The sequence below is a fragment of the Homo sapiens genome, chromosome 2, assembly GCF_000001405.40.
Source record: "Homo sapiens chromosome 2, GRCh38.p14 Primary Assembly".
Taxonomy (NCBI): Eukaryota; Metazoa; Chordata; class Mammalia; order Primates; family Hominidae; genus Homo; species Homo sapiens.
The window spans coordinates 87,551,070-87,575,625 of NC_000002.12; the positions used below are offsets into that span (position 1 = coordinate 87,551,070).

Here is a 24,556-nt window from a genome sequence, read left to right on the forward strand (position 1 = left end):
GAGGCTGAGGTGGGAGGCGGAGGTTGCAGTGAGCTGAGATTGCCGCCACTGCACCCAAGCCTGGGCGACAGAGCAAGACTTCATCTCAAAAAAAAAAAAGAAAAGAAAAGAAAAGAAAAGAAAAAAAAGACAGTTATATAATAGCAAAGACATGGAATCAACTTAAATGCCCATCAATGATAGACTGGACAAAGAAAATGTGGTACATATACACCATGGAATACTATGAAGCCATAAAAAGAATGAGATCATTTCCTTTGCAGGCACATGGATGGAGCTAGAGGCCCTCGTCCTTAGCAAACTAATGCAGGAACAGAAAACCAAGTATCACATGTTCTTACTTACAAGTGGGAACAAAATGATGACAACATATGGATACTTAGGGGGAACAACACATATTGGGGTCTGTTGGGTGAGTAGGGGATGGAAGGAGGGAGAAGATCAGGAAAAATAACTAATGGGTACTAGTCTTAATATCTGGGTGATAAAATAATCTGTACAACAAACCCCCATGACATAAGTTTACCTATGTAACAAACCTGCACATGTACCCGTGAACTTAAAATAAAAATGAAAAAAAACAGTGATAGTACCTACCTCATAGTATTGTTCTTGGAATTATGTTAGCCATTATATAATTCTTAAAGAGTTCTTGGCATGTAGAAAGTACTATGTAAGTGACAGCCATCGTTGCTTTTGTAATGATTATTTTGCTTCCTTTCTTTTTGTTCATTGCACATTTAAATTTCTAAAAGAGATTCCAATGTCTTTATTATTAAGGTGAGAGGAAAGCCTGAATTTACCTTCCCCCTCTTCCCAGCTCTGCCCCTCACAGCCCCCAGACCTTTGCTTTGCTTGCTGGACCCAAAGACACACAATTCTTGTCCCTGTGCCTGGGAAGGGGTGTTGGGATTCAGGGCAGATGTATTTACCAGACTGTGGTTTGGGCCCCTGTGTTGTCTTTTAACTTATAAAATATCTGTATAATTATTTTTCATTACTAGCCACCACATTCCTTTGTTATAACTGCTTTTTTGAAAATGAATATATGCACATTGTAAACAATTTCAAGTGAAACCGCCTCCCCATCCCTTGTCTGATGGCTAGTCTCCCTCCCCTGAGGGCCGACGCCACTGCTTGCCAATTTTGACATAAGGCTTGAAACCAATGAGTGTCCAGTGACTGGGTGAGTTTGGTTCCTCCTACTTGTCTTGGCAATCTCAAACAGTTCCAGGAGAAGATTGTTTCTTGGAGAGTGGGTGGCAATGAAATAATAGCAATGGTGGTCAACCTTTATTGAGCAGGAATTGTCTGCCAGGCACCCTTCCAGGAGCTTTGCCTGAGGGATCTCGTGATCTTTGTGATGAGCTATCGAGGCGGCTACTGCTGCGACCTGGGATGGAGATGCCCAGGTGGAGGCCCAGAGAACGGAAGTGTCCTTCTAAGGCCTAACTAACAGATAGGGGACTTCCATCTGCTCCAAGGATATCTAGTTCCAGAGTCCACACTCTTGGAATCTAGAAAACTCCATCAGGACTAATTTATGAGCATCTTAGAACCACTTTCCCTGAAATTTCCTTTCTACAAACCTAGGAAGGGTTTTTTCTCCCTTCTTCCTAGCAAGTTCTTAGCTTTTTATGGAATAAGAAAATGCACAGAGTGGCCTTCATCCTGGACAGGCTCCTTTGATGTGAGCCACGAGGCACCTAGGGCTGGGTCATCTGTGGTCTCTGCAGGTGGCCACCACGTGTCCTTGGGCTTCCCCATCTGCTCCAGGCTTTGGTCTTTTAATTTCAAAAGCAGGGAAAGAGCAGGCTCACCTGAACCTTCTCCAGAGTTCTTTCTATTACTCAGAGTCCATCTAGCTAAACATGTTTTTAAAAATATTTATTTGCACTGGTGAGCCCATGGCCATGGTGGAAGTGGGGACATGGGTAAGCAAGAGTCCACCCTGCCCCACGGAGCTCACGTTCCGCAGGAGTGGAACACACAGCAGCCCTGGGCAAGGCACCTCTGGCCTGTCCCTCACCTGCTTTGCACCTGGTTATGCTTCCCTTACTCCCAGTAGCAAGTGCCCCAGGAACCCCGTGGGTGACCTACTCAGTGGTAGGCTGTGCCTGCTTGCAGGAGGGACCAGAAGGCTACCTGGGGTTACTTCTCAGGCATGAGCCAAGGGTCACATTATAAAAGCTATGCCAGATTCCCCATAGATGATCCTCTATCCAAAAATTAGGAGCTCTTAAGTCATAAGATGAGTCAAATCTACCCCCTTAGAACTCAACATAGCTATGTTCAGTTTTACTGGAAAATAAGTCACTGGAAAGCACTTTTTATGGTTTTCTAAATCTCTCTTATGCCCAAAGAAGTGGTTCAGCCCTGGTCTAAGGCACTGCTCACTTACTCTGATTGCCATCTTCAGCATCATCGTGATGATGATAATGATGATGATGATGATGATGATATAACAAGATAGTAGCAATAACAAGAGCTGCCTCCTCCCAGTTGTGAAATTATGTTTATGGATATCTGGGGCTCACTGTTCTCTTTAGGAATGACCCCTGAGGGCTCATGGCTCCCAGCCCCCAGTACCGCAGGTAAAGCAGTGACCCTATCTCCAGAAACGTGGGTACCACCACCACAGTCATAGCTTAGATGGGGCAAAGAGTGCTGACTCCAGAAGCCGCCATCATCACCGACTGTGTCGAATTTGGAAATGGGGACAGAAATGTACACATACCCATGGGCTTTGCAGAGAGGCCATCAAATCGACTGTTTCTTTTTGGTTGTAAAACCCTGAGGATCTCTCTGCATTTCTTCCCTTCCCACCCCCATTGTTTAAGCCTCAGTTTCTCCTTTGAGCTACCTGGGATTCTGATGGGCAGGATTGCTCGGTAAGCGCTAAGCTCTGTCCACAACTCAGCCATTTTGTGTCTCTGGTTTGCTTTGGATGGCAGTTTTCCCCTTATCCTGCCCAGATTTCCAGTATCCAAGCCCGTTATTTTCTTATATTCTTCTTTATGACCTGTATTTTTCCAAAGATTGGGAAGCAAAAATGTCAAGGTGATAGATGCATATAGATAGGTAAAAAGATGACAGTCAGTTTTAATCCTCATTTTGCTTTTCTGTATTTCCAAAATTTCTACAAGGAACATCTATTGTATTTGTAATAAGAAAAATAGTCTAATGAGGCCGGGCGCGGTGGCTCACACCTGTAATCACAGCACTTTGGGAGGCCGAGGGGGCGGATCACGAGGTCAGGAGATTGAGACCATCCTGGCTAACACGGTGAAACCCCGCCTCTACTAAAAATACAAAAAAATTAGCCAGGCGTGGTGGTGGGCGCCTGTAGTCCCAGCTACTCGGGAGGCTGAGGCAGGAGAATGGCGTGAACCCTGGAGGCAGAGCTTGCAGTGAGCTGAGATCGCGCCACTGCACTCCAGCCTGGGCAACAGAGCGAGACTCCGTCTCAAAAAAAAAAAAAAAAAAAAAAAAGAGAAAATAGTCTAATGAAAAGCAAGTTGGTGCCTTGAAGTTGAGTGTTTTGGTTGAATGTTGGCTAAGGATCCAGTCCCCCAGAGGTTAGTTAAAAGCTTTTCCTCCAGCCCTATGACCACAGGGGTAACAACTCAACTCCTCAGGCCATGAAATTTCAGAGGGTTATCTTTGTCCTGAGCCTCAGACTTCTGTGGATCCAACAAGGGAAGGGCTGTCCGGCAGTGGAGACTTGACATCTCACTGGCTCCCAATACTTGCAGCTGCAGTGTTTCTTGAGCACTACTGTGTCACACACGGCCTGAGTGCCTGCCCCCATCTTCAGAGAATGGCACCCGGGTCTGGTTGGCTCACCTCACTCAAAGTGGCAGGACCGTCTCTACTGCATGCATTTTCTGTGTGGTATGTTTTTCTTTCTTTGGTAGCTCATAAAATTTCCCTATCTGTGCTGGGCCTCTTGGTCTTTAATCTTCAACCTCTGCTGGAGCTGTCCCTATTTCTTTTTAATTATGCCTCTTTTTTTATGGAAGTTTCCTATTAAATTTTTATGACTATATAGAGCTGTGGATAGACTCCAACAAAAATGAAATCTTTATGGAATAGTCATTTCTCTCCAGGAGCCCCTGATAGATGTTCCTCTGTGGATAGACACACATGTGTGGTGGGGGTGGGGAAAGTCCCTCTGGTCTTGGCTGCAGCTGGGCAGGATGCGGGAGAGGCAGCTGAGCTGCTTATTCCTCAGTGTGAGGGCTGCTGGGAGCGTGGGGTGCAGCTCAGCTTGGGGGGTGGGGGTGACGTGGGATGCAGAGGATAAGAAGTAAATCTTCCCTAGGTGTAATTTCTTTGCCTTGGTGTCTGCTGAATTAGCACTGCTCCCTAATCCCAAGCCATCAAGCTACATGGCTGCATATGAGCGGAGACATGCCCCGTTACTCCTTATTCAGAACCTTCATGGCCAGGCACGTTGGCTCATGCCTGTAATCCCATCACTTTGGGAGGCCAAGTGGCAGATCGCTTGAGCCCAGGAGTTCGAGACCAGCCTGGGCAACATAGTGAGACCCTTCTCTATATAACATAAAAATTTAAAAAAAAAAAAAAAAGGAGAAGAAAAGAAAAGAATCTCCTGCCCAGGTCTGCCAGCTGAGCTTGCAAAAATGTTATCCTTGGGGCTAACATTCTGTATTAGTTCATTTTCTCGCTGCTGATAAAGACATACCTGAAACTGGGAACAAAAAGAGGTTTAATTGGACTTACAGTTCCACATGGCTGTGGAGGCCTCAGAATCATGGCAGGAGATGAAGGGCACTTCTTACATGGCAGCGGCAAGAGAATAATGAGGAAAAAGCAAAAGTGGAAACCCCTGATAAACCCATCAGATCTCGTGAGACTTATAAACTATCATGAGAATAACACAGGAAAGACTGGCCCCCGTGATTCAATTGCCTCACCCCTGGGTCCCTCCCACAACACGTGGGAATTCTGGGAGATACAATTCAAGTTGAGATTTGGATGGGGACACAGCCAAACCATATCACATCCTAAGTGACTGTCTGGGGTCACTGGACCCTGGCATGCTTCCCCCTGTGCCAGCTACCAGCTATGTGGTCTGGGAATGGCTTGGGATCCACAGATAGCTCTCCAGGGGGGTCACGGACCAGAGTTGCTGTTGCAGGGTGTGAGTCCCCTTGCCAGGGAGGGAAGGGACAGTCATTCACTTATAAACAGATGTTGGGACTCACCCAAATTGAGTGCTGGGCCTAGATCAGGGCACCAGGGATTTCTCATTCTTAGTCCCGTGGAGCTGATGTTCCTGAAGGAGGAAATGGAGAAAACTCAAGAAAGCTTGTAAACGAGTGAGGTGGTTTTAGATTGTGGTGAATGCTGGGGGGCAAACGGAGATATTAAGAGGGCTGCCAAGGGAGGAGGAGGGAGGGGTTCTCATTTCAACAATGTTCAGGGAAGGCTGCCTGCTGGGGCGATCCTGGAGCTGGGACAGGATGATGAGGGGCTTGCATACTCAGATCAGGGGCAGAGCCTTCCAGGCAGCAGGACCAACAAGTGCAAAGGCCCTGAGGTGGAATGAGTTTGTCAAGTTGAGAAACTTGTCAAGATGAGCGTGGCTGGGACAGTGTAAGCCATGGGGAGAGTGGAGAGACAGGAGGCTGGGTCAGGCATGGGAGATTTTTAATCCTTGCTAACTTACTTTAAATGTCTAAAGACACCATTTTGACTGCTGGACAAAGAATGGACTATGGAATTGCATTAAAGTCCAGAGGTCCAGTTTTTGGAACCACCAGGAAGGCAACACAATGCGCCTACTCTCAAAGGGATTTGGGGAATGGAAGAAGGTGGGGTTATTGTTTCATCAGGCTGCTTGGATTTAGACCTGTTTTCTTAAGCTGCAAGATCTCCTACAAAACTGGATCCTCACCTAAGTTTGGAGGACAACTGAGAAGTGATAGTTATGTTTGCCTCCCTGCAGAGAATAAACTCTCAGGAGAGGATGGAGCACTGCAGCTCTTACCTATGAAAGTTGATAAGGAAGGGAGTCTCCAATGTGAGTGTGGCAACTGTCTACTCACTGGAAGGAACAGTGATACATATCATAATAGGGAAGGAAATGAACAGCATCCATTATGTGATGGCGTCTATCCCATGTGTTAGGTCCTGTAACTGACAACAGCCGCCCTGAAAAGTATTATTGCATATGAGACTGGAGACCAGAGAGGTTAAGTAAATTGCCCAAGATCACATAGCTACTAAGAGGCAGAGCTGGGGTTTGGACTCACGTCGGCCTGACTCCAATGCCCTTGCATCTGTCACTCGTGCCCATAGCCCTAGTCAACACCCACATGCTAAAGGCGTCAGTGGTCCCCTCTAACAAAAGCTGTTATGGCTTCTCAGAGAGACTGGAGTCCATGGCTGGGAGAGGCAGGGGTACCCTGGGAGAACCATGTGTCATCAGGGTTCTTTCCAGGCCCTTCCAGCCACCCACCCATGGGCATAAGGCCTACCCCAGCTCTGCAAGGTTTCAAAAAAACATGCTTGACACTTGAACAAAAATTGGCTCCAAAACATAAGAAGAAAGCTGCAAAACCATAATTAGTAATTTAGATCAATAAAGAATAAGGACTATAAAGAAGAGAGTAGGGGAAGTAGGGAAAAAAAGGAACATGATGTATTTATTACCATTGAACAATACACTTAAAATGGTAAAGATGGTAAATCATATATGTATATTTTACCTCAATAAAAAAGAATTAAATTAAAAAAATAAGCAAAACAAACGATCTTATTTTACCTTCATTTATGCTTTCTCTGCCCTGCATCTCTGCCTGATGCTGACCCCAGTTTCTGACTAATAAGGTTTTCCTTCTGCCTGAAGAGCTTCTGCAAAGCTGTCCTTAGGACAGATCTACTCGCTAGGAATTCCCTCAGTTTTTGTTTGAGAAAAATATTTATTTCTGTCTCACTTTTTTAAAAATTAAGCTTTGTTTTGTTTTGTTTTACTATAATTATCTTTTTGTTTGTTTGTTTGTTTTGAGATACGGTTTGACTCTCCCACCCAGGCTGAAGTTCAGTGGCTCAAACATGGCTCACTGCAGCCTCAACCATCTGGGCTTAAGCAATCCTCCCAACTCAGCCTCTCAAGTTGCTGGAACCAGAGGCACACGCCAATACATCATGCTATTTTTTTTTTTTTACTTTTGTAGAGGTAATGTCTTGCTATGTTGCCCAGGCTTGTCTCAAACTCCTGGGCTCAAGCGATCCTCCTGCCTTGGCCTCCCAAAGTGCTGGGATTACAGGCGTGAGCCACCACGCCCAGGCCAAAATTAAGCTTTTTTATCTGGAGATCATTGTAAATTATTCTGCAGTTTTAGGAAATAAATCAGAAAATATACTGTGTGACCTTTATCCAGTTTCCCCTAAAGATAACATCTTATATGATAGTATAATAGCACTGCCAGAATATTGGCATTGATATACTTTTACTTGTCCTCATTGTGTGTATGTGCACACATGCATGTGTATTTAGTTCCATGCAATCTTATCCCACATGTAGGGTCTGTGTATCCATCACCACAGGGTTCCTCTTGCTGCCTTTTTATAGCCATACCTCCTTCCATACTCTTCTCCTTAACCCCTGGCAACCAATAATCTGTTCTTCATTTTTATAATGTTGTCATTTCAGGAATAATAGACTCGTGGTGTGCATGTCTTTTTTGCTCAGCACAATTCTCTGGAGATTTTTCCACACTGTTGGGCACATCATTATCCAATGCCCCCTTTTCTTGCTGAGTAGGACTCTATGGAGTGGATGCTCCACAGTTTATTTAATCAGTCACCGACCACACAGAGTGAGGCTGGAGAGAATGGCAGATGAGAGAGGGGAGGGGTCGGGACAGGGAAAGAAAACCCTCTCAGAGATGTCTCACGATATCTGCAGTAAAACCTATACTCTCAAACAAAAACTTTCTTGGTGGACTCTTTTCTTCTTCTGGGAAAAGAGGCAACATAAATGGACGCAGATCACCTGCCACATACACATGTGCATACTGATATGTCCCCTCGTGTGCTCATGTGTACACATTTTTGCACATGCATACACACACACACACACACAGACATGCCTGTGAAGAGGCCAACCCCAGTGTGCAGCAGCTGTGAGGGGGCTCTGCCCCTCCTCTCCTAGAATGGAACATACGTTCTTGTGAACATAGAGAGTGGCATTTTCTTATGTCGATGTAATGTGAACAACTCCTGGTCACCAGCCCCCTTGACCACTGATGCCTCTTCATGGGTCGGTGAGTGAGGGAGACACAGCCATTTATTCCTGGCATCTTGAATTAAACTTGAAATTACTGCCCACTAGAAATAAGGCCTGGGGCATAGAGTCTTATTATTAAAATCTTTTGTGGAAAGTCACAGGGCTCCAATCACCCCAAAAACATTGTGTCTATGGGAAAATGCACCTTGAGTTCCATCTTACAAATGGATTTGTAACAGTTTAGGTTTCATGTAAGCTGTTCACAGTATCCTAGTGATACATGTTTATGGTAAAAAATCTTGGAGGGTAAAGAACAAACACTGCCCATAATTTTTTACTGTATACACTTTTTTTTCTTATAAAAATGTTACTCTATTGCACATAGTGTTTTGAATCATGCCAATTTTTATTTGGCAATTATATAAAGGCAGAACTTTAAATATCACCCCCAACATTCTGTGCCTATGCCTCAGAGCCTATGCTTAAAAAGAGCAATCATATTCATGACTACGTATTTAATGCAACATTAGAAAACTAATGCAGTCATAACCCACAAGCGTTTTCCATGCCAATGACCTTTTTGCCATCTGGTTTAGTGACTGCAGAGTATCCCATTACATGGTTGTCTCACACCTTGGCAAGCATCCCTTAAGGATGGACACTAAATCATCATGGGGTTTAATACTCTCATCCACAGAAGAGACTCCCAAGCCAGTCCTCACATATCTTGCTCTCATTACTAGGGCAGAGGGTTCTAAGAATTTTCCTCTTATGGGCCACCACCAGAGCAGACCAGACTCACTGTTTCCATGCCTGCTGGCTCTTGCTGCCACCATGCCCTGATTTCAAATAACCACTCCATCCATGAGCTAACTGACCTTAGAAAGATATACTTTTAAAATGCATATCCTCCCAATTTTCAATTAAGGCCAAAAGGAGTAGTAGAGACCAAATATATCCTCTTTCATGAAACAAACAAAAAATGGCAAAAATATGTGAATCTACGAAAAGATACTAGAACTCTTAAGTGAATTTAGAAAGGATACAAGCTGTTATATCAATATTTAAAAAGTCAATTTCATTTATATGATTAACAATGAACAATCAGAAAGTGAAATAGAGAGTGTCATTTATAATAGTATCAGAAATATAAAATACTTAGAATAAACCTGACAAAGGATGGGGAAGACCTGTATACTGAAAACTACAAAGTATTCCTGAGAGGAATTAAATAAAACTTAAATAACATACCACATTCATGTGTTCAGTCTGAATTACAATGTCTAAAGTTAAACATACTGACCACACCAAGTGTTGGTGTGGATGTGGAGGAACTGGAACTCTTATATGTTGCTGGTAAGAATGCAACATGGTACCTCCACTTTGGAGAACAGATAGGCAGTTTCTTAAAAGTTAAACATACATTTACTATATTACTCAGCCATTCCACTCCTAAGTATTTACTCAAGAGAAATGAAAGCATTTGTCCACACAAACATTCTTACATGATTGTTAATAACAGCTTTATTTTCAATCACTTGAAACTGAAAATGATCCAAAGGTATAGCAACAGATAAATGGACTGTGGCATATCCATATAATGGAGTACTATCAAGCAATAAGAAGAAACAGACAGCTGGGCAGTGGCTCACATCTGTAATACCAGCACTTTGGGAGGTTGAGGCAGATCACTTGAGCTCAGGAGTTTGAGACCAGTCTGGGCAACATGGTGAAACCCCATCTCTACTAAAAATACAAAAAATTACCCAGGTGTGGTGGCGCACACTTGTAATCCCAGCTACTGGGAAGGCTGAGGCAGGAAAATTGCTTGAACCCAGGAGGTGGAGGTTTCAGTGAGCCGAGATCACGCCACTGCTCTCCAGCCCGGGCAGGCGACAGAGAGAGACTGTGTCTCAAAAAAAAAAAAAAAAAAGAGAAAGAAAGAAAGAAAAGAAAAGAAAATTAGCAGGGTGTGGAGGTGCACACCTGTAGTCCCAGCTACTCAGGAGGCCAAGGTGGGAGGATTACTTGAGCACAGGAGGTCAAGGCTGCAATGAGTTGTGATTACATTGCTGCACTCCAGCTTGGGTGACAGAGTGAGACTCTGTCTAAAAAAGAAAGAAAAGAAAGACTATTGATACGTGCAAGGATATGGATGAATCTGAGAACAATTTTGCTGAGCGAAAGAAAGCAGAGGAAAAAACATACAAGCAGCATGATTTCATTTACATAAAATTTTTAAAAATGCAAACTAACCTATAGTGACAAAAAGCAGAACAATGGGAATTTATAATGTTAAACACATATGTTTATTAGAAAAAAAAAGATCTACAGTCAATCATTCAGGTTTCCATCTTAGGAAACTAAAGAAAGAGGCCTAATTTAATTTAAGCCTGAAGCAAGGAAAATAAGATAAGTAATTAAAAATTAGAACAGAAATTAATAAAATTGTAAACAGGAAAACAGTAGAGAAAAATCATAAAACAAAAGCTGGTTCTTGGAAAAGATCAATAAAATTGATAAACATTTAGTCAGGCCAATGAAGAGAGAAAAGACACAAATTATTAACATTAGAAACAAAAGAGAGGTCATCACAACTGATCCCATAGACATGAAAAGGTTAATTAAGTAATACAACAAACAACTTTATGCTCATAAATATAATTAAGGTGAAGTGCAACAATTCCTTGAAAGACACAAACTATTAAAACCCCCCAAAGAGAGTAGTCTTATATTCGAAGAGATTGAATAATTTAAAACCTTCCAGAAAAGAGAGCACTAGGCTCAGATAGTTTCACTGGTACTTTCAACAGAATACTTAAAGAGGAAATAATAACAATTCTCCACAATATCTTCCAAAAAATAGAGGCAGAGGCATTGCTTCCAAACTCATTTTATGAGGCCAGTTATCTTAGTCTGTTTAGGCTGCTGTAACAGAACACCACACAAACTGGGTGGCTCATAAACAATAGAAATTTATTTTTCACAATTCTGAAGGTTGGGAAGTCCATGAGCAAGGCACTGGCAGATTTGGTATCCAGTGAGGGCCTGCTCTCTGCTTCATAAATGGTTCCTTCTAGCTGTGTCCTCACATGGTGGAGGGGATGAGGAGTCTCCCTTAGGCCTCTACTATAAGGGCATTTAGGTCTCTTCTACAAGGGATCACCCATTCATGAGGGCTCCGCCCTCATGATCTAATTACTTCCCAAAGGCCCCACTTCTTAATACAATCACCTTGGAAGTTAGAATTCCAACATATGAATTTGGGGGAACACAAACATTCAGACCATAGCACAGTATATTACCCTAACACCAAAACCTGCTAATGACATTTTAAGAAAGGAAAAACTACAGACCAATATCTCTCATAATCATAGATACAAAAAAATCTTTGAAAAAATTATTGAATCATATTCAGTAATATTATATAACATAACCAAGTGGGATTCATTCCATGTATACAAAGCTGGTTTGACATTCAAAAATCAACGTAATTTACCATATCAATGGGCTAAAGAAGATAAATCACATGACTATATCAACTGCTAGAGAAAGTATTTGAAAAAAATCAATACCTATCTACAATAAAATCTCTCGGCAAACTAGAAACAGAGGGTATCTCTTCAACTTGATAAAGAACATGCACAAAAAGCCTGCACTAAACGTCATACTTATTGGTGAGAGGCTGGGCATTTTCCCCCTAAAATCAAGAATAAGGCAAGGATGTCCTCTCTCACCACTCCTATCGAACATCATACTGGAAGTCCCAGCTACAGCAATAAGAAAAAGAATTAAAAGAAAGATATACAGACTGGACAAAAAGAAACAAAAATGGTCTTTATTAGTAGATACACTGTCTATGTAGGAAATGCCAAATAATCTGTGCACACAAAAAAAGGTGAAAACCTCATTGGAAAAGGTGAGTATAACAAGGACACAGCATACAAAGAAAATATACCAAAGTCAATTGCTTTCCCATATACAATGAACAATTAGAATTTTAAATGAAATTTACATTACCATTTACAATAGCATCCCCCCAAATCAGTATTTAGTTACAAATTTGACACAATCTATGGAAACTGTAGGCAAAAAGCTAGAAAATACTGGCAAAATAAAATAATCTAAATAAATGGCAAGATAGTCCCTGCTTATCTGTTGGAAGACTTGGTATTGTTAAGATGTGAAGTATTTATAACTTGATCAGAGCAGTCCAATTCAAAATCCCAGCAGGTTATTTTTTAGATATTGATAAACTGATTCTAAAATTAATATAAACAAGCAGAAGGCCTAGAATAGCTAACACAATACTAAAGAAGATCAAAGTTGGAGTACTCAGAGTCCTTCATTTCAAGAATTACTATAAAGCTATAATAATCAAGATGGTGTGGTATTGGCAAAAAAAGGACACATAAATCAACAAATGGAGATGCCAGAAATAGACCCCCCCACACAATATAATAACCTGACTTTTGACAGAAGCGCAAAGGCAACTCAATGGAGCAAGTGAAGTCTTTTCACCAAGTGGTGCTGGAACAATTGGATGTTCATAGGCTAAATGAATCTGGACACAGAACTTGCAACTTACACAAAAAATAACTCTAAATGGATCATAAACCTAAATTTAAAATGCAAATTTATAAAACTTTTAGAAGAAAACATAAGAAAAAAATTTATGTGACCTTGGGTTTGGTGAGGAATTTTTAGATACACGACCAAAAGCATGAACCATGAAAGAAAAAAAAATAGAGAAGTTGGACTTTATTAAAATTAAAAACTTCTGCTCTACGAACAATTCTGTTAAGATAATGAAAACACAAGCTGCAGACTGAAAAGAAATATTTGCAAAACATGAACCTGATAAGAAACTTGTATCCAAAATATTTTAAGAAATCTTAAAAGTCAACAAAAAGACCATAAGTAATCCAATTGAAAAAATGAATAAATCTGAACAGACACCTCCAAATCACCACCAAAGATGATATTTGTGTGTGTGTATACATATGACATATACATATGTACATATATGTATATATATATATCTTACAAATGGGAAATAAGCATGTGAAACATCATCTGTCATTAAAGAAATGCAAATGAATACAACAATGAGCTTTCACCACACACCTATTAGAATGGCTAGTATACAAAAAACCAACAATACCAATTGCTATGAGAATTTAGAAGAATAAGAACCCACATGCGTTTCTGGTGGGAAGGCAAAATAGTACAGCTACTTTAAAAGATGTTTGGAAGTTTCTTAAAAAGTTAAATATTATTTTACTGTATGAACCAGCAAGCATACTCCTAGATGTTTACCCAACTGATTGAAAACTACGTCCACAAAATACCTGCATGCAAATGTGTGTAGCAACGTTATTCATAACCACCAATATCTGGAAAACCAGGATGTCTTTCAGTAGGTGAATAGATTAATAAACTGTAGTACATGCATATAAAGGAATACTATTCAGAGATATAAATAAATGAACTATCAGGCTATGTAAAAACATAGATAAAACTTAAATGGATATTGTTTACTGAAAAAAGCTTATCCATTTATATTATGTTCTAGAAAAGGTAGAATTATCGAGATGGTAAACGGATCAGTGGTTTCCAGGGGCCTGTAGAGATGGAAGAGTAGAGTAGGCAAAGCACAAGAGATTTTTTTTTAGAATGGTAAAATTATTGTGTATGATACTGTGGTGGTGAATACATAACACTGCATTTTTCAAAACCCATGGAATTTTACATCACAAAGAGTGAACCTTAACATATGCAAATTAAAAAAATAATTAAAGATGTTGGGGGATTCCAAGATGGGATGCTGAGTATGACAGAAGACTAACTGTATTACAAATGTATAAAATAATTCCACTGAAGGGGTGGGAGGAAAGCGTGCTGACCAAGTGGCATTGGAAGTGAGTGGAGACTGTAAGACTAAAAACATAAGGAACTGTCCACAACCCTGTATTCTAGTAGATAAAGCTCTTTCCCAAAAGGATATAAATTCTGAAGCCACTAGTCACACACTCTGAAATGTGAAGTCACTGGATGGAGGATGGTGGGAGCCAGGTTTATCTTTGTTGGAGGGGAGGCTACCAACAAGCAAGCAGGAAAGGTTGCAGTGATTCATATGGCAGTGGTTAGTGTTGGGGACATCAACGTGGAATCGAGTTCAGCTCAAAATAGATGCAGACGGATATGTACAATACACTTACAGATATGGGTTGGTATATATTTCCTTGTTCTGTCTCCTGACAGGGCCTGAATAAGTGTCATCCCAGTAGCAATGAGCACACCTACTGTTTACGTCTTAGTTTTTGATGCTGTTCTTTTTTTTTTCTTTGTAACATTTAATAAGCTCAATCTACATCCAGAATAATTTACATGAAAGGACAATATTTATTTAAACAGAGCTCAGTGGGGTAGCCATGGTATCATCAGAGTGCATCCAGAGGAAAAGAGGGAGGAAGGGCCGAAGAAGACACAATCAACGGCACTCCCACACTTTTACTGTTTGAGCCACGCTGCCAGTGACCACATAGGGTGCTGTCTTGTGGAAATCCAATGAGGTAACAAAGTGTTCATACGCATTGAGGGTCTTCATGCATTGCCTGTTCTTGTAATCCCATACGTGTAGGGTCTTGTCATCAGCACAACTCAAAATAAATTTCCCCCCAGAACTGAACAGAACTTCACGTACCCAGTTACCATGACCCACGAGGGTCATGAGGCACATGCCGGTACTGACATCCCACATCTTAATAGTCTTGTCCCTGGATCCAGACAGCAAGAATGGCCCAGATTTACCACTATTTTTTAGTCTCAGAGCCTGTTGCTTCAGAGATGGAGGAATATGAGCTTTCTGGAGCCCAGGAAATGCATTCTACCACATGCTCATGTTCTCGGAGCTCACCCTTGCATTGCATTGTTGCTACAACCCATACACGCACAGTCTGGTCATTGGAACAGCTGGCTATCAGAGTGCCATCTTGATTTGGTTGTACAATATGTACCCATTCTCTCTGTCCTGTGAACATCTTCACACAGTAGCCAGTTTGCACTTCCCACATTTTTATAGTTTTATCCCTTGAGGCGGACACTATATGATCTCCACTGGCCATGATGACTACTGAGGAAACATTATGGTCATGGGGAACCATGACTATGCATGGTTCTGATGCATTCAAAGTCCTGAAAATCCCATGGTTTAATGGTCATAGCTGCAGAACAGGAAGCCAGAAACTTGCCACTGTGGTCAAATGAAATGTCCTGTACAGAGTCTCTATGTCCTTCCTTTAAGAGTTCTTTCAAAATCTCCAGTCTCATAATCCCACACCTTAACTGTAGCATCCTCTGAAGCAGAGACCATAACACTGAACACAGGATGGAAAATGACTCGAATGATTGGACTCCTGTGACCACTCAATGTGTATTTTTTCTGGCAGAAAATACCCATTCTTTTGGGTCTTGTTTCTGACCAAGAGGTCCACCTGACGTAAATTCTTCTTTTGCTTCATTTAGCGTTGATTCTAATTCCATAAACTTCTTTTGTAATCTAATAACAGATGTCCATTTTTTCCCCAAAACACCAGCCTACTTTATTTCTTCATTCATATCTAATTCAGCTTCCTTTTTAAAAACTGAATATGCCTCTTCGTAGCCATTTGAACGAAGATAATCTGCTTTAGCTTGATTTAGTTCATCTCGTTGTCTCTGGGACAGCACCATCTTGGCTGTAATGTCAAGCTTATCTCATATAGTGGTATGTCCCTCCTTTGGGAAATGAAAAAGCTTTTTGATCCGTGGACGTATAATATAAATATGACACTAAGTGTCTTCCACTCAGCGGAAAATGATTCTTTTACAAATGAATCCAACTAGTAACCAGAAGATATTCAACAAGTAAGATTCATTCTACTCTCCCGGCCGCTGGATTCTGCCACTGCCCCGCCGCTCCAGCTCTGTCTGTCACAGGAGCTGCCCCAACACCCTGACGTCACTGTGCCACCACCGCCACTGCCCCCACCACCGCCCCCACTGTTCTTAATACCATTTAATAAAAGGAAGTAAGCCTTCCTGGAGAAATGGCTGATTCTAGGACAGGCGGGGAATGTACAAAATGAGCCTGGAGGAGCATTTTACAGGGCCAGAAAGTAAGAACGTGTTCAGAAGAACAAACAATAACACACAGGTCAAGGAGACACAGTGACCACTTGAAAAAGCTTTCAATGGCCTAAGCTGGAACAATTTGAGCAATAAAGTAGTATTGGATTATAAATAACCCAAGTATAAAATAAATATGCATGATTCCATACTGATTTACATTTATATATTTAGTTAATCACATACATATGAATAAGTAAATGGCAGAGAATAGGCACATCTCCAGAGTGGTGGAATTTCAGGTAATTTATGTAATAGTGCACCCCCAAGGAGGTGGAGCATAATTCTCCCCTCCTTAAATATGGGCTGCACACAGTGACTTCCTTTCAAAGTGTACAGTGTGGAAAGGGGGCAGGGGAGAAACTTCACAGTGGAGACGTCCAACAAACACTGCCTCAGCCAGATGATCATGGTCAACATCACGAGTGACGTCATGTTGATAGGATGTGCTCCTGATAGAATGTGATGAAAGTAGCACTTTACTTCTGTGGTCTTCTCCCAATAATCATAGGAGAAAACACCAGGCAAATCCCAATGTTGGGACATTCTACGAAATACCTGACTAGTGTTCCTCAAAACTGTCAAGGTCATCAAAAACAAGGAAAGTCTAAGAAATTGTCACAGCCAAGAGAAGCCTAAGGAGATGGGACAACTCAGTGTAACATGGTGTTCTATGGTGGAAGGACAGCTGGGTCAACTAAGGATATCTGAATGAAGGGTGACTTTAGTTAATATGCATCAACATTGGCCATTAATTGTGACAAAGGTACCTCATTAATGTAAGATAGTAACAATGAGAGAAACTGGGTGTGATATCTAGGGAAACTCTCTGGACTATTCTCAACTTTTCTGGAAATTTAAAACTATTCTAAAATAAAAAGTTTATTTTTTTAAAAAGGAAGGCAATCCCCTTTCTCTCTCCTCCCTCTTTCTCCTTTCCCTCTCTTTCCTCATTTCTCCCTTTTCCTTCCTCCTCTTCCTCCTGCCCCCTCCTCTTTTCCTTTAACAATAACAATAATGTGTAGTCCATTCTCACACTGTGATAAAGAACTACCTGCAACTGGGTAATTTATGAAGGAAAGAGGTTTAATTGACTTGCAGTTCCACAGGCTTTACAGGATGCATGGCTGGGAGGTCTCAGGAAACTTGCAATCATGGCGGAAGGTGAAGGGGAAGCTAACACATCTTCACGCCGGAGAGAGAGAGAGATAAGGGGGAAGTGCTACACACTTTCAAACAGCCAGATCTCGTGAACTCTATCAAGAGCACAGCAAGGCGGAAGTCCACCCCCGTGATTCACTTACCTCCCACTAGGCCCCTCCTCCAACACTGGGAATTGTAATTCAACATGAGATTTGAGGGGGGACACAGAGCCAAACCACATCAAATGGCATCACACATGTGACCAGTACGTTGTCGTTTCCAGCTCTCTTCCCTTGCATTATTCTGCAGGAGCCCTTGCCACAGTGCAGTGCTGGATGTGGTATTCTTGAATTCACAGTTGGGCCAGGGAGGTGAAATGACCCACCTAGGAGGTAGCAGAGGTGCTAGCAGCACTCCCAAGACTCATAGTGAATTCTCCTGGGCCTGTCCGTCACCCTGTTATGCCACTTTTCATTTCCCTCTGATCACAAATGACTCAGCACACAGTGTAAGTGCTACAATTTTACTCCAGAATTTGACTTGTATTGTCCTACAGACTGCAGGTACCCTCTTGTTGCTCCTTTCCCTTGAAAAAAAATACATCATCTCAAAAGAACGCAACCAGGAGCTGGCAATGGCACTGGAATCCCTTCCTGGTCACAGAATTGATGCTCATCTGCCCAGTGCATGGCACTTTTACAAGAAATCTTATTTGGTCAACCCCCCAAATATCACAGAAGGACATTATTATTATCTCCAGTCTGCAGTTGAGAATGCTGAGGCTAGAAAGTGGTTACCACTAAAAGCAAACCTTTTCTCTCTTTCCCATTGCCTATCCACCCTGACTCTGGGCTCTGACCCATACCCACCTGCTCAAGGTCCCAGGTAGGAGTTGCCCATTCTTTTAAGTATGAGTTCATTCATACACATCACCATGTGAGGCTTGATGTGACCTCAGTAACAAGCAGGTCTCATCTGCCCTGTGCATGTGAATGTGCCTTAGGAAGCTTATCAAATCCCAAAGGAGAAATTACATCCTCTAGGAAAAGTACAGTGAGGTGACTGTCCCGTTTCCTTTACTGGCTCTGGACCACAGCTGAGTTCCCATGCACGCACTGTGGCACACGAGAGTGTGGGCAGAGGCACTTCTGCTGAGTGGGATGAAACATCTTAAGTGCTCTGAGGGTTGAAACTTTGAAGAGGTTGAGATCTGTGAGAGCTGAAGAACCTTTGAATCTCCCTTCAGCTCTCCCTACCCCAACCACAGCCCTTCTCTTGATGTAAAACATGTGTTCAGATAGAAAACAAATGAGGCTTACTTCTATGCCAGTAGGACTGTTTGGCTTTAAGCTTCCCCAGTGGTTGAAAACAGCAATCTCCGAGATTTGCCCAAAACTTTAAATGGAAGTCACTCCCATGGGTCACATCCATGGATTTGTGAGATAGGGCAGGAGGCTGTGTCTCTGCTACCCAGCGGTGGGAGCAGGGGTCTGTGCAGCCTGATTGTATTGGGGATGGGCCCCTCGTCCAGTTGCCTATGAGGATAACCTGCGGAGAAGATCAGATGGAGATACCTGGACTTATGCAGAGGCGTGTTCGGGTTAAATAGAAATGCCCAGGGTCCAATAGAGGGAACCTTCCAACAAGTGTATGAGTTGGCCTCTCACCCGACGCTGGCCACCCAGATGACAGCTTCTTGGACATGATGAATGGCCTCACTTCCACCAGAACATCTTCCTGCCAGGCCCTGCTGCTGCTTCCCCAGCTGTGTGGCCTTGGATGAGTAACATGGCCTCTTATTAAAGAAATGGATGAAATACTTTCTAAAGAATCTTCCAACTCTGAAGATCTGTGACATCTTGTCACTGAATTAATAGGAAATCAGCTCCTTATAGATTTGGTCTATGTTAGGAGACAACCTCTGTTGATGGGCTGACCGAATGTCTGAAGTGGGAAGGATTTGGGGACCAAAACAGGTAACAAGAGTAGACGAACACAAGAAATTCAGGTTGAATTAACCTTCAACAGATATTTATTGAGTAACTTCTACATGTAAGTCACCAAAATCTGGGAAGGGGAAATGGATAAAAGTACGATTCTCTCTCTGGAAAGCCTATAGTCTAATTAATTGATGTATTAAGTAATGCTGGGTGGAGGAACAATAACCCAGGACTTGTATAAACAATAGGAAACTCTGGGGGAAGAGCAAGGCTAGAAGAGACATTATCTGGGAGGCAATTCTAGAGCAGGTAGATTTCAGGAACAGGACAATCAAAGAAAAGGAGAGTGGCATTCACACATCAAGTCTAATAATATGGCCTTATTTTATGGTCCACCTGAGTACTGCAGAATTTAGCCCTAGGTACTACCAGGTCCAAAGCTGCTTCTTTAAGCTACACTTTAAGCTCCTGTCACTAGAAGGGGCTGTCAGGGTGCCAGGGATTTTGGTAGGTTCCGTGCGGACTTCCCTAGTCCTAGAGGACGTTGGAGTCACTGGGGTGTGAGGACATTGGAGAGACAGGAATAGAGTTCCACGCTGCGATGAGGAGATGGAGCCTGATGCAAAGCCACAGGGAGGCTGGCGTTGTTGGGGTGGGAGGAATTCCCACCCAGTGGGAGAGTTTTACATTGAGGACTACATACCTGGTCAGGGTATAAGGCAAAGTGGGCTCCCACTCCTGACATGTTCCTCTTTACCGATGTTCCTTGTGAACTTATTCCCCACCTAGGACAGCTAACACTTTAAGCTCTTGACTGTCATTTATACTTTATTCATGTGAATGAGTTTTTAGTTTTCTCTTGAAAGCAAGTTGGGATACTAGGAAAGTTGACAAGAGTTTGAGTTTCTATGTTGGTTGGGAAAGAGTGATGTCTCCACATGTAATTTGTAGAGGGTCCCATCAGTTTCCAAAAGAGGAAGTGGGTGTTTGTCTTGCTTTTGAGACATTTTGGGAGACTTAGACACAATATAATTTCTATTGAGAACAAAGTAGGGTTAGGATTTGGAGAAGGAAGACAGATATTTCCTTCTCTCTGCTAAAGAGATGGTCTGGAGTAGAAAACTTGTGGACTGTGTTTACAATTGTGGAGTACTACTCTTGGTTAAAACAATAAAGCAGAATCGATGTCTGTAGAACAGAGCTGGAAGGGGCCTCATGGTTGGTTTTCAAGGTAAACTAACCACAGACATCAGTTTTCCACTCCTCTGCCTTTTTAGCATCTGGGTTCATCTTCCAGGAAGGCCATAACAAAACTCCACAATCTGAGGATCTTAACAACTGAAATTGATTGCCTGGAAGTTCTGGAGGATGAAAGTTCAAGGTCAGCTTGGGCAGCGTAGGTTTCTTCCGGGTGCCATGAGGGAGAATCATTCGTGCTTCTGGTGTTTGCTGGCAGCCGCTGGTGTTCCTTGGCTGGCAGAAGCACCACCCCAACCTGTCTCTGCATCTTCACAGGGCATTCTCCCTGTCCGTGTGTGTGTCTGAATTTCCCCCTTTTATAAGGACACCAGTCATGTTGGATTAGGGGCCCACCCTACTCTAGTATAATCTCATCTTAACTAATTATACCGGCAATGGTACTAGTTCCAGATAAGGTCACATCCTGAGGAACTGAAGGTTCAGACTTAAACACATGAATGTGGGGGAGGAGACGCAACTCAGCCCATAACCACATTCTTTCTACACAGGGAGTTCAAGTTAGAGAGCCCATCAAATCATGCAGGGAAAGGAGATGAAATCCTCTGGGTCCGTCACTGTTTGAGGCAGCCCTAGACACATGCTGAGCTATTGTCCCCACTTTGCCAATGCAGACTAAGCTTGTGTCCATGGAAAAGCCCAGTGTGAACTAAGATCACTGGATGCCCACCTTGGTGCTGGGGGCCGGGGCCCACACAGAAGTCCCAGGCCCAACCTGAGGGGAGCAGGCTATACCAGGCCGAGGATGGCCCCCTTGATTTGGGTGCACACTCAAATGTACAAACTACTGCCTGCACCACAGAGACTGGCCCGGAGGTGTTATCTTCCCAGAGGGCTGGGCAAAGGGCTATCTTTGAACCAGCTGTTCCCACTCAGGCAAGAGTGGCTTTGCTGGGCCTCCACTTCCTCCACTGTAAAACGAGGGTGATGCTCTGCCCTGCCCGACCCATCTAGGGTCAGGTGAAGATCAAATGGGATAATAAGATAGAATGTCTTTTGAAAGACCCACACACGAAGGTGGCATGAGGGATTGTCTTTATGACTATCATGTTCTATGCAGCCCTGACTGTTACGTGCTAGCTGGCTGTCTCATCTCCTCGAGGTGTCCTGCGTGCCTGCTGATGGGGATGATTCCAATGACTAAAAGGTACCTGGCCTTCTCCATGCCCAGCTTTACATCCAGTAGAGGCTCAGGCCACCCTCGATGGCAGCCTGCCCGCTGCGGGCCTGCTTGTCTGCTCAAAGCAGAGGTTGACTTGCGCCCAGGTTGCATTCCAGAAGTCCTGGCCTGCTTTCTCCACATGGTTAGCTTCGAGCAGTGAGCTTGGGAGCAGCCTTTCTGCGAGTTCTGCCAGGTGAGCCAGCCCGCAGGAGTAGGGGGTATCCCAGGCACGCACCTGTGGCTCAGGTTTCTCCCTTGTGGCCCGCTCTCTCCCCACTGCTGTTTTCCAGAGCACCTCCATCCTGCAAGATTGACAGCTCACTCTTGGTAGGGAACAGAGTGTAGGAAGTGATCGTTTCAAACTTCTCTTGCAGCTCCATCTGCCAAAAGCCCCTCTACCAGTTGCCGTATTTACCCTGGCTGCCAGGCCTCTCTCAGCTGCCCTAAGAAAACAGATTACCGTCCAGAGCAAAGTCCTCGTGTGTTTCCTTTCTGGAGATGAATCAAGTTCTGAAAGAAAGGTTTCCTGTAGCCCATTACACCATTTCAGTTTGTTTTATCTGTCTCCACCTGCAGAGCAGGGAATTAACCTGCTGCCCAGGGCCGGGCCAGCGAATGCTTGGAAGGAAAGCAAAGCGCACGGGTGTGCATTTTTTGACAACAGACCATGGCCTTGTTCTCCTCAGCAGAGCATTGTCCCCATGAGGCCCAGGCCCAAATCTGAATAGGACTTTGTGTAACTCGATCTGTTTTCCTTCTTGGCTATAGTCTCTGTGCCAAATTTAACTGTGGTCTGTATATATAGTGTTGTGGGAGGGTGGGGGTAGACCAGGGAAGGTTGGGGGAGGGGAGTATATCCATGCAGTTTTTTTCCTGTCTTCCTTTTTTTGTGCTTGCCTGCTTTGCTCACTGTTTGCTATATATAACTCAACATGACTGTCCTCGCATCTCCAGTCATTAACCCTTTAGGGATAACTAATGCACCTCTTTATGTAGGCCCCTGGCTGGGAAGCGCTGGCACTGTTGGAGTTAACGACTGGCCCCTGGAAAGTGAACTTCCCCAGAAGTGCTTGTGAAGCAATTAACAGGGCCCCACTCAGATAGTAAAAATATCCCCTGGCTTACAAACAAGCAGAGAAGCGCCTCCAAGCCAAGAGTCACCGCTGTGCCCCAGGCATGTAGTGGGCGCTCCCTCTTTGAAAGTCTTGTATCTTAGACTTTGCAGAAATGCTACGAAAGCTGGTGATGCAGCAACGATTTCAGGGGAGACTGAAATCTATTGTCCAACTGAAAGCCTGTCAGGGCTGGGCCTCTCTCAGGAGGTGAACCATCCCAAGGGTCATGGAAAGAGCTACTCATTGTGGGCCTGGGGTGACAGTGACCCATCCTGGGTGAACAGAAGCCTCACTTCACTTTGCCGGAGGGAGACAGTAGGCTGACAAACTATTGTGGAATCTCCTAAAATTGGTTGCTAAAGGGAGCTTCTCACCAGGGCCAGCTTGCCTGGGCTCTTCTTTCAAAGGGTGGAGTGTTGTCTGCCAGTCCCCAGGCTCAGGGGATGCAAGTGAAAGGGCTTCGGGCTTTACTGTTCATTTCCTCAGAATCATAGAAGTGCCGAAAATTACAAAACTGCGGTCTCCCTGCAAGGGACTCAAGATGTCTTGGGTCATCTTAGGCTATATTTAGAATGGAAAATGTGTTGGCTCTGAGGAAACAGGGTATGTGTCCTTCTCCAAGCAGGATGCTATGAACCTTGCCCCATAGGCCCTCCTACCCATCCTCACAGAGCCCTGAAACTCCTCCTCCAGGAACCCTTCCAGCCAGTGGGAAGACCCCACAGATAGGACCCAGTTTCCCCTGTGAATCAACTTCTCTAGCACGTCCCACTGCCCAGGGCTGGGAAGGTCCAGTGTGCCCAGTGTGGCACTGTTTTCCAGGGCTGGATGCATGTTTGGTCCTCCAGTGGGAACTCTGCTATCGTCCCTGCTTCACCAGGAGTGATGATGGGGACAGGCACGGCAGAGAGTGGACACAGGGATCCTGGCCTTAGGGGGCAGTCACTCATCCAGCTCACACTTGTACATACGTCACCATGGACACAGAGGTTTTCAGTATGTTAACGATTTGCACAGTCCACATCAGCATCCCGTTAACTTTCTTTTTGTAACCCTCAGCATGGTTTTAAGAACCTGGAAGTTTATTGCGTAACTGTTTTGCTTGTGAAGTTGCACATGATTTCTCAGAAAGATCAACTCAAACCCACCTTGTCACCCCTCTCCACCCAGGCCCCACTTCCTGCTTTGCTGGGGCTGGGGGGTCAGAAGTAACATAGCTAGAGACAGATGTCCATCATCTGTGCTTGTGATGACAAAAGGAGGTAACAGGAGTACAGTCAGACCCTCACTCCTTGGAGCCCTGTTGTGAGCCGCTCATGGCATGCACCATTCTCTGTCCTCACAACAGCTCAGACGGGTAGGAATTATTGGATTCTTTCTCTAAACGGGAAACCAGGGGTTTTAGGTGCCTTATCCATGGACCCTGCCCTCACCTCCCTCACCCAGTGCCCCCCTGTGCCTTGCTGGCTCTATCTGTGAAATTTATCCATGGACCCTGCCCTCACCTTCC

General features: G+C 43.6%; 1 long non-coding RNA gene and 1 pseudogene across 1 annotated transcript in view, besides 1 other annotated feature; one reads left to right on the forward strand and one right to left on the reverse strand.

Annotated features, from left to right (window-relative positions):
- NCAL1 (NK cell activity associated lncRNA 1) overlaps positions 1–24,556 on the forward strand; it is a 282,375-nt gene that overhangs the window by 95,591 nt on the left and 162,228 nt on the right. The gene's annotated exons all lie outside the window — the stretch shown is intronic.
- PAFAH1B1P1 (platelet activating factor acetylhydrolase 1b regulatory subunit 1 pseudogene 1) lies at positions 14,603–16,219 on the reverse strand (annotated as a pseudogene).
- Positions 20,932–21,693: an enhancer, noted in NCBI's record as "H3K27ac-H3K4me1 hESC enhancer chr2:87871520-87872281 (GRCh37/hg19 assembly coordinates)". NCBI's record gives its function as "activates a minimal SCP1, AML or CMV promoter by ChIP-STARR-seq in naive H9 embryonic stem cells {active_cell/tissue: H9 hESC(naive)}" and the evidence as "EXISTENCE:reporter gene assay evidence [ECO:0000049][PMID:30033119]".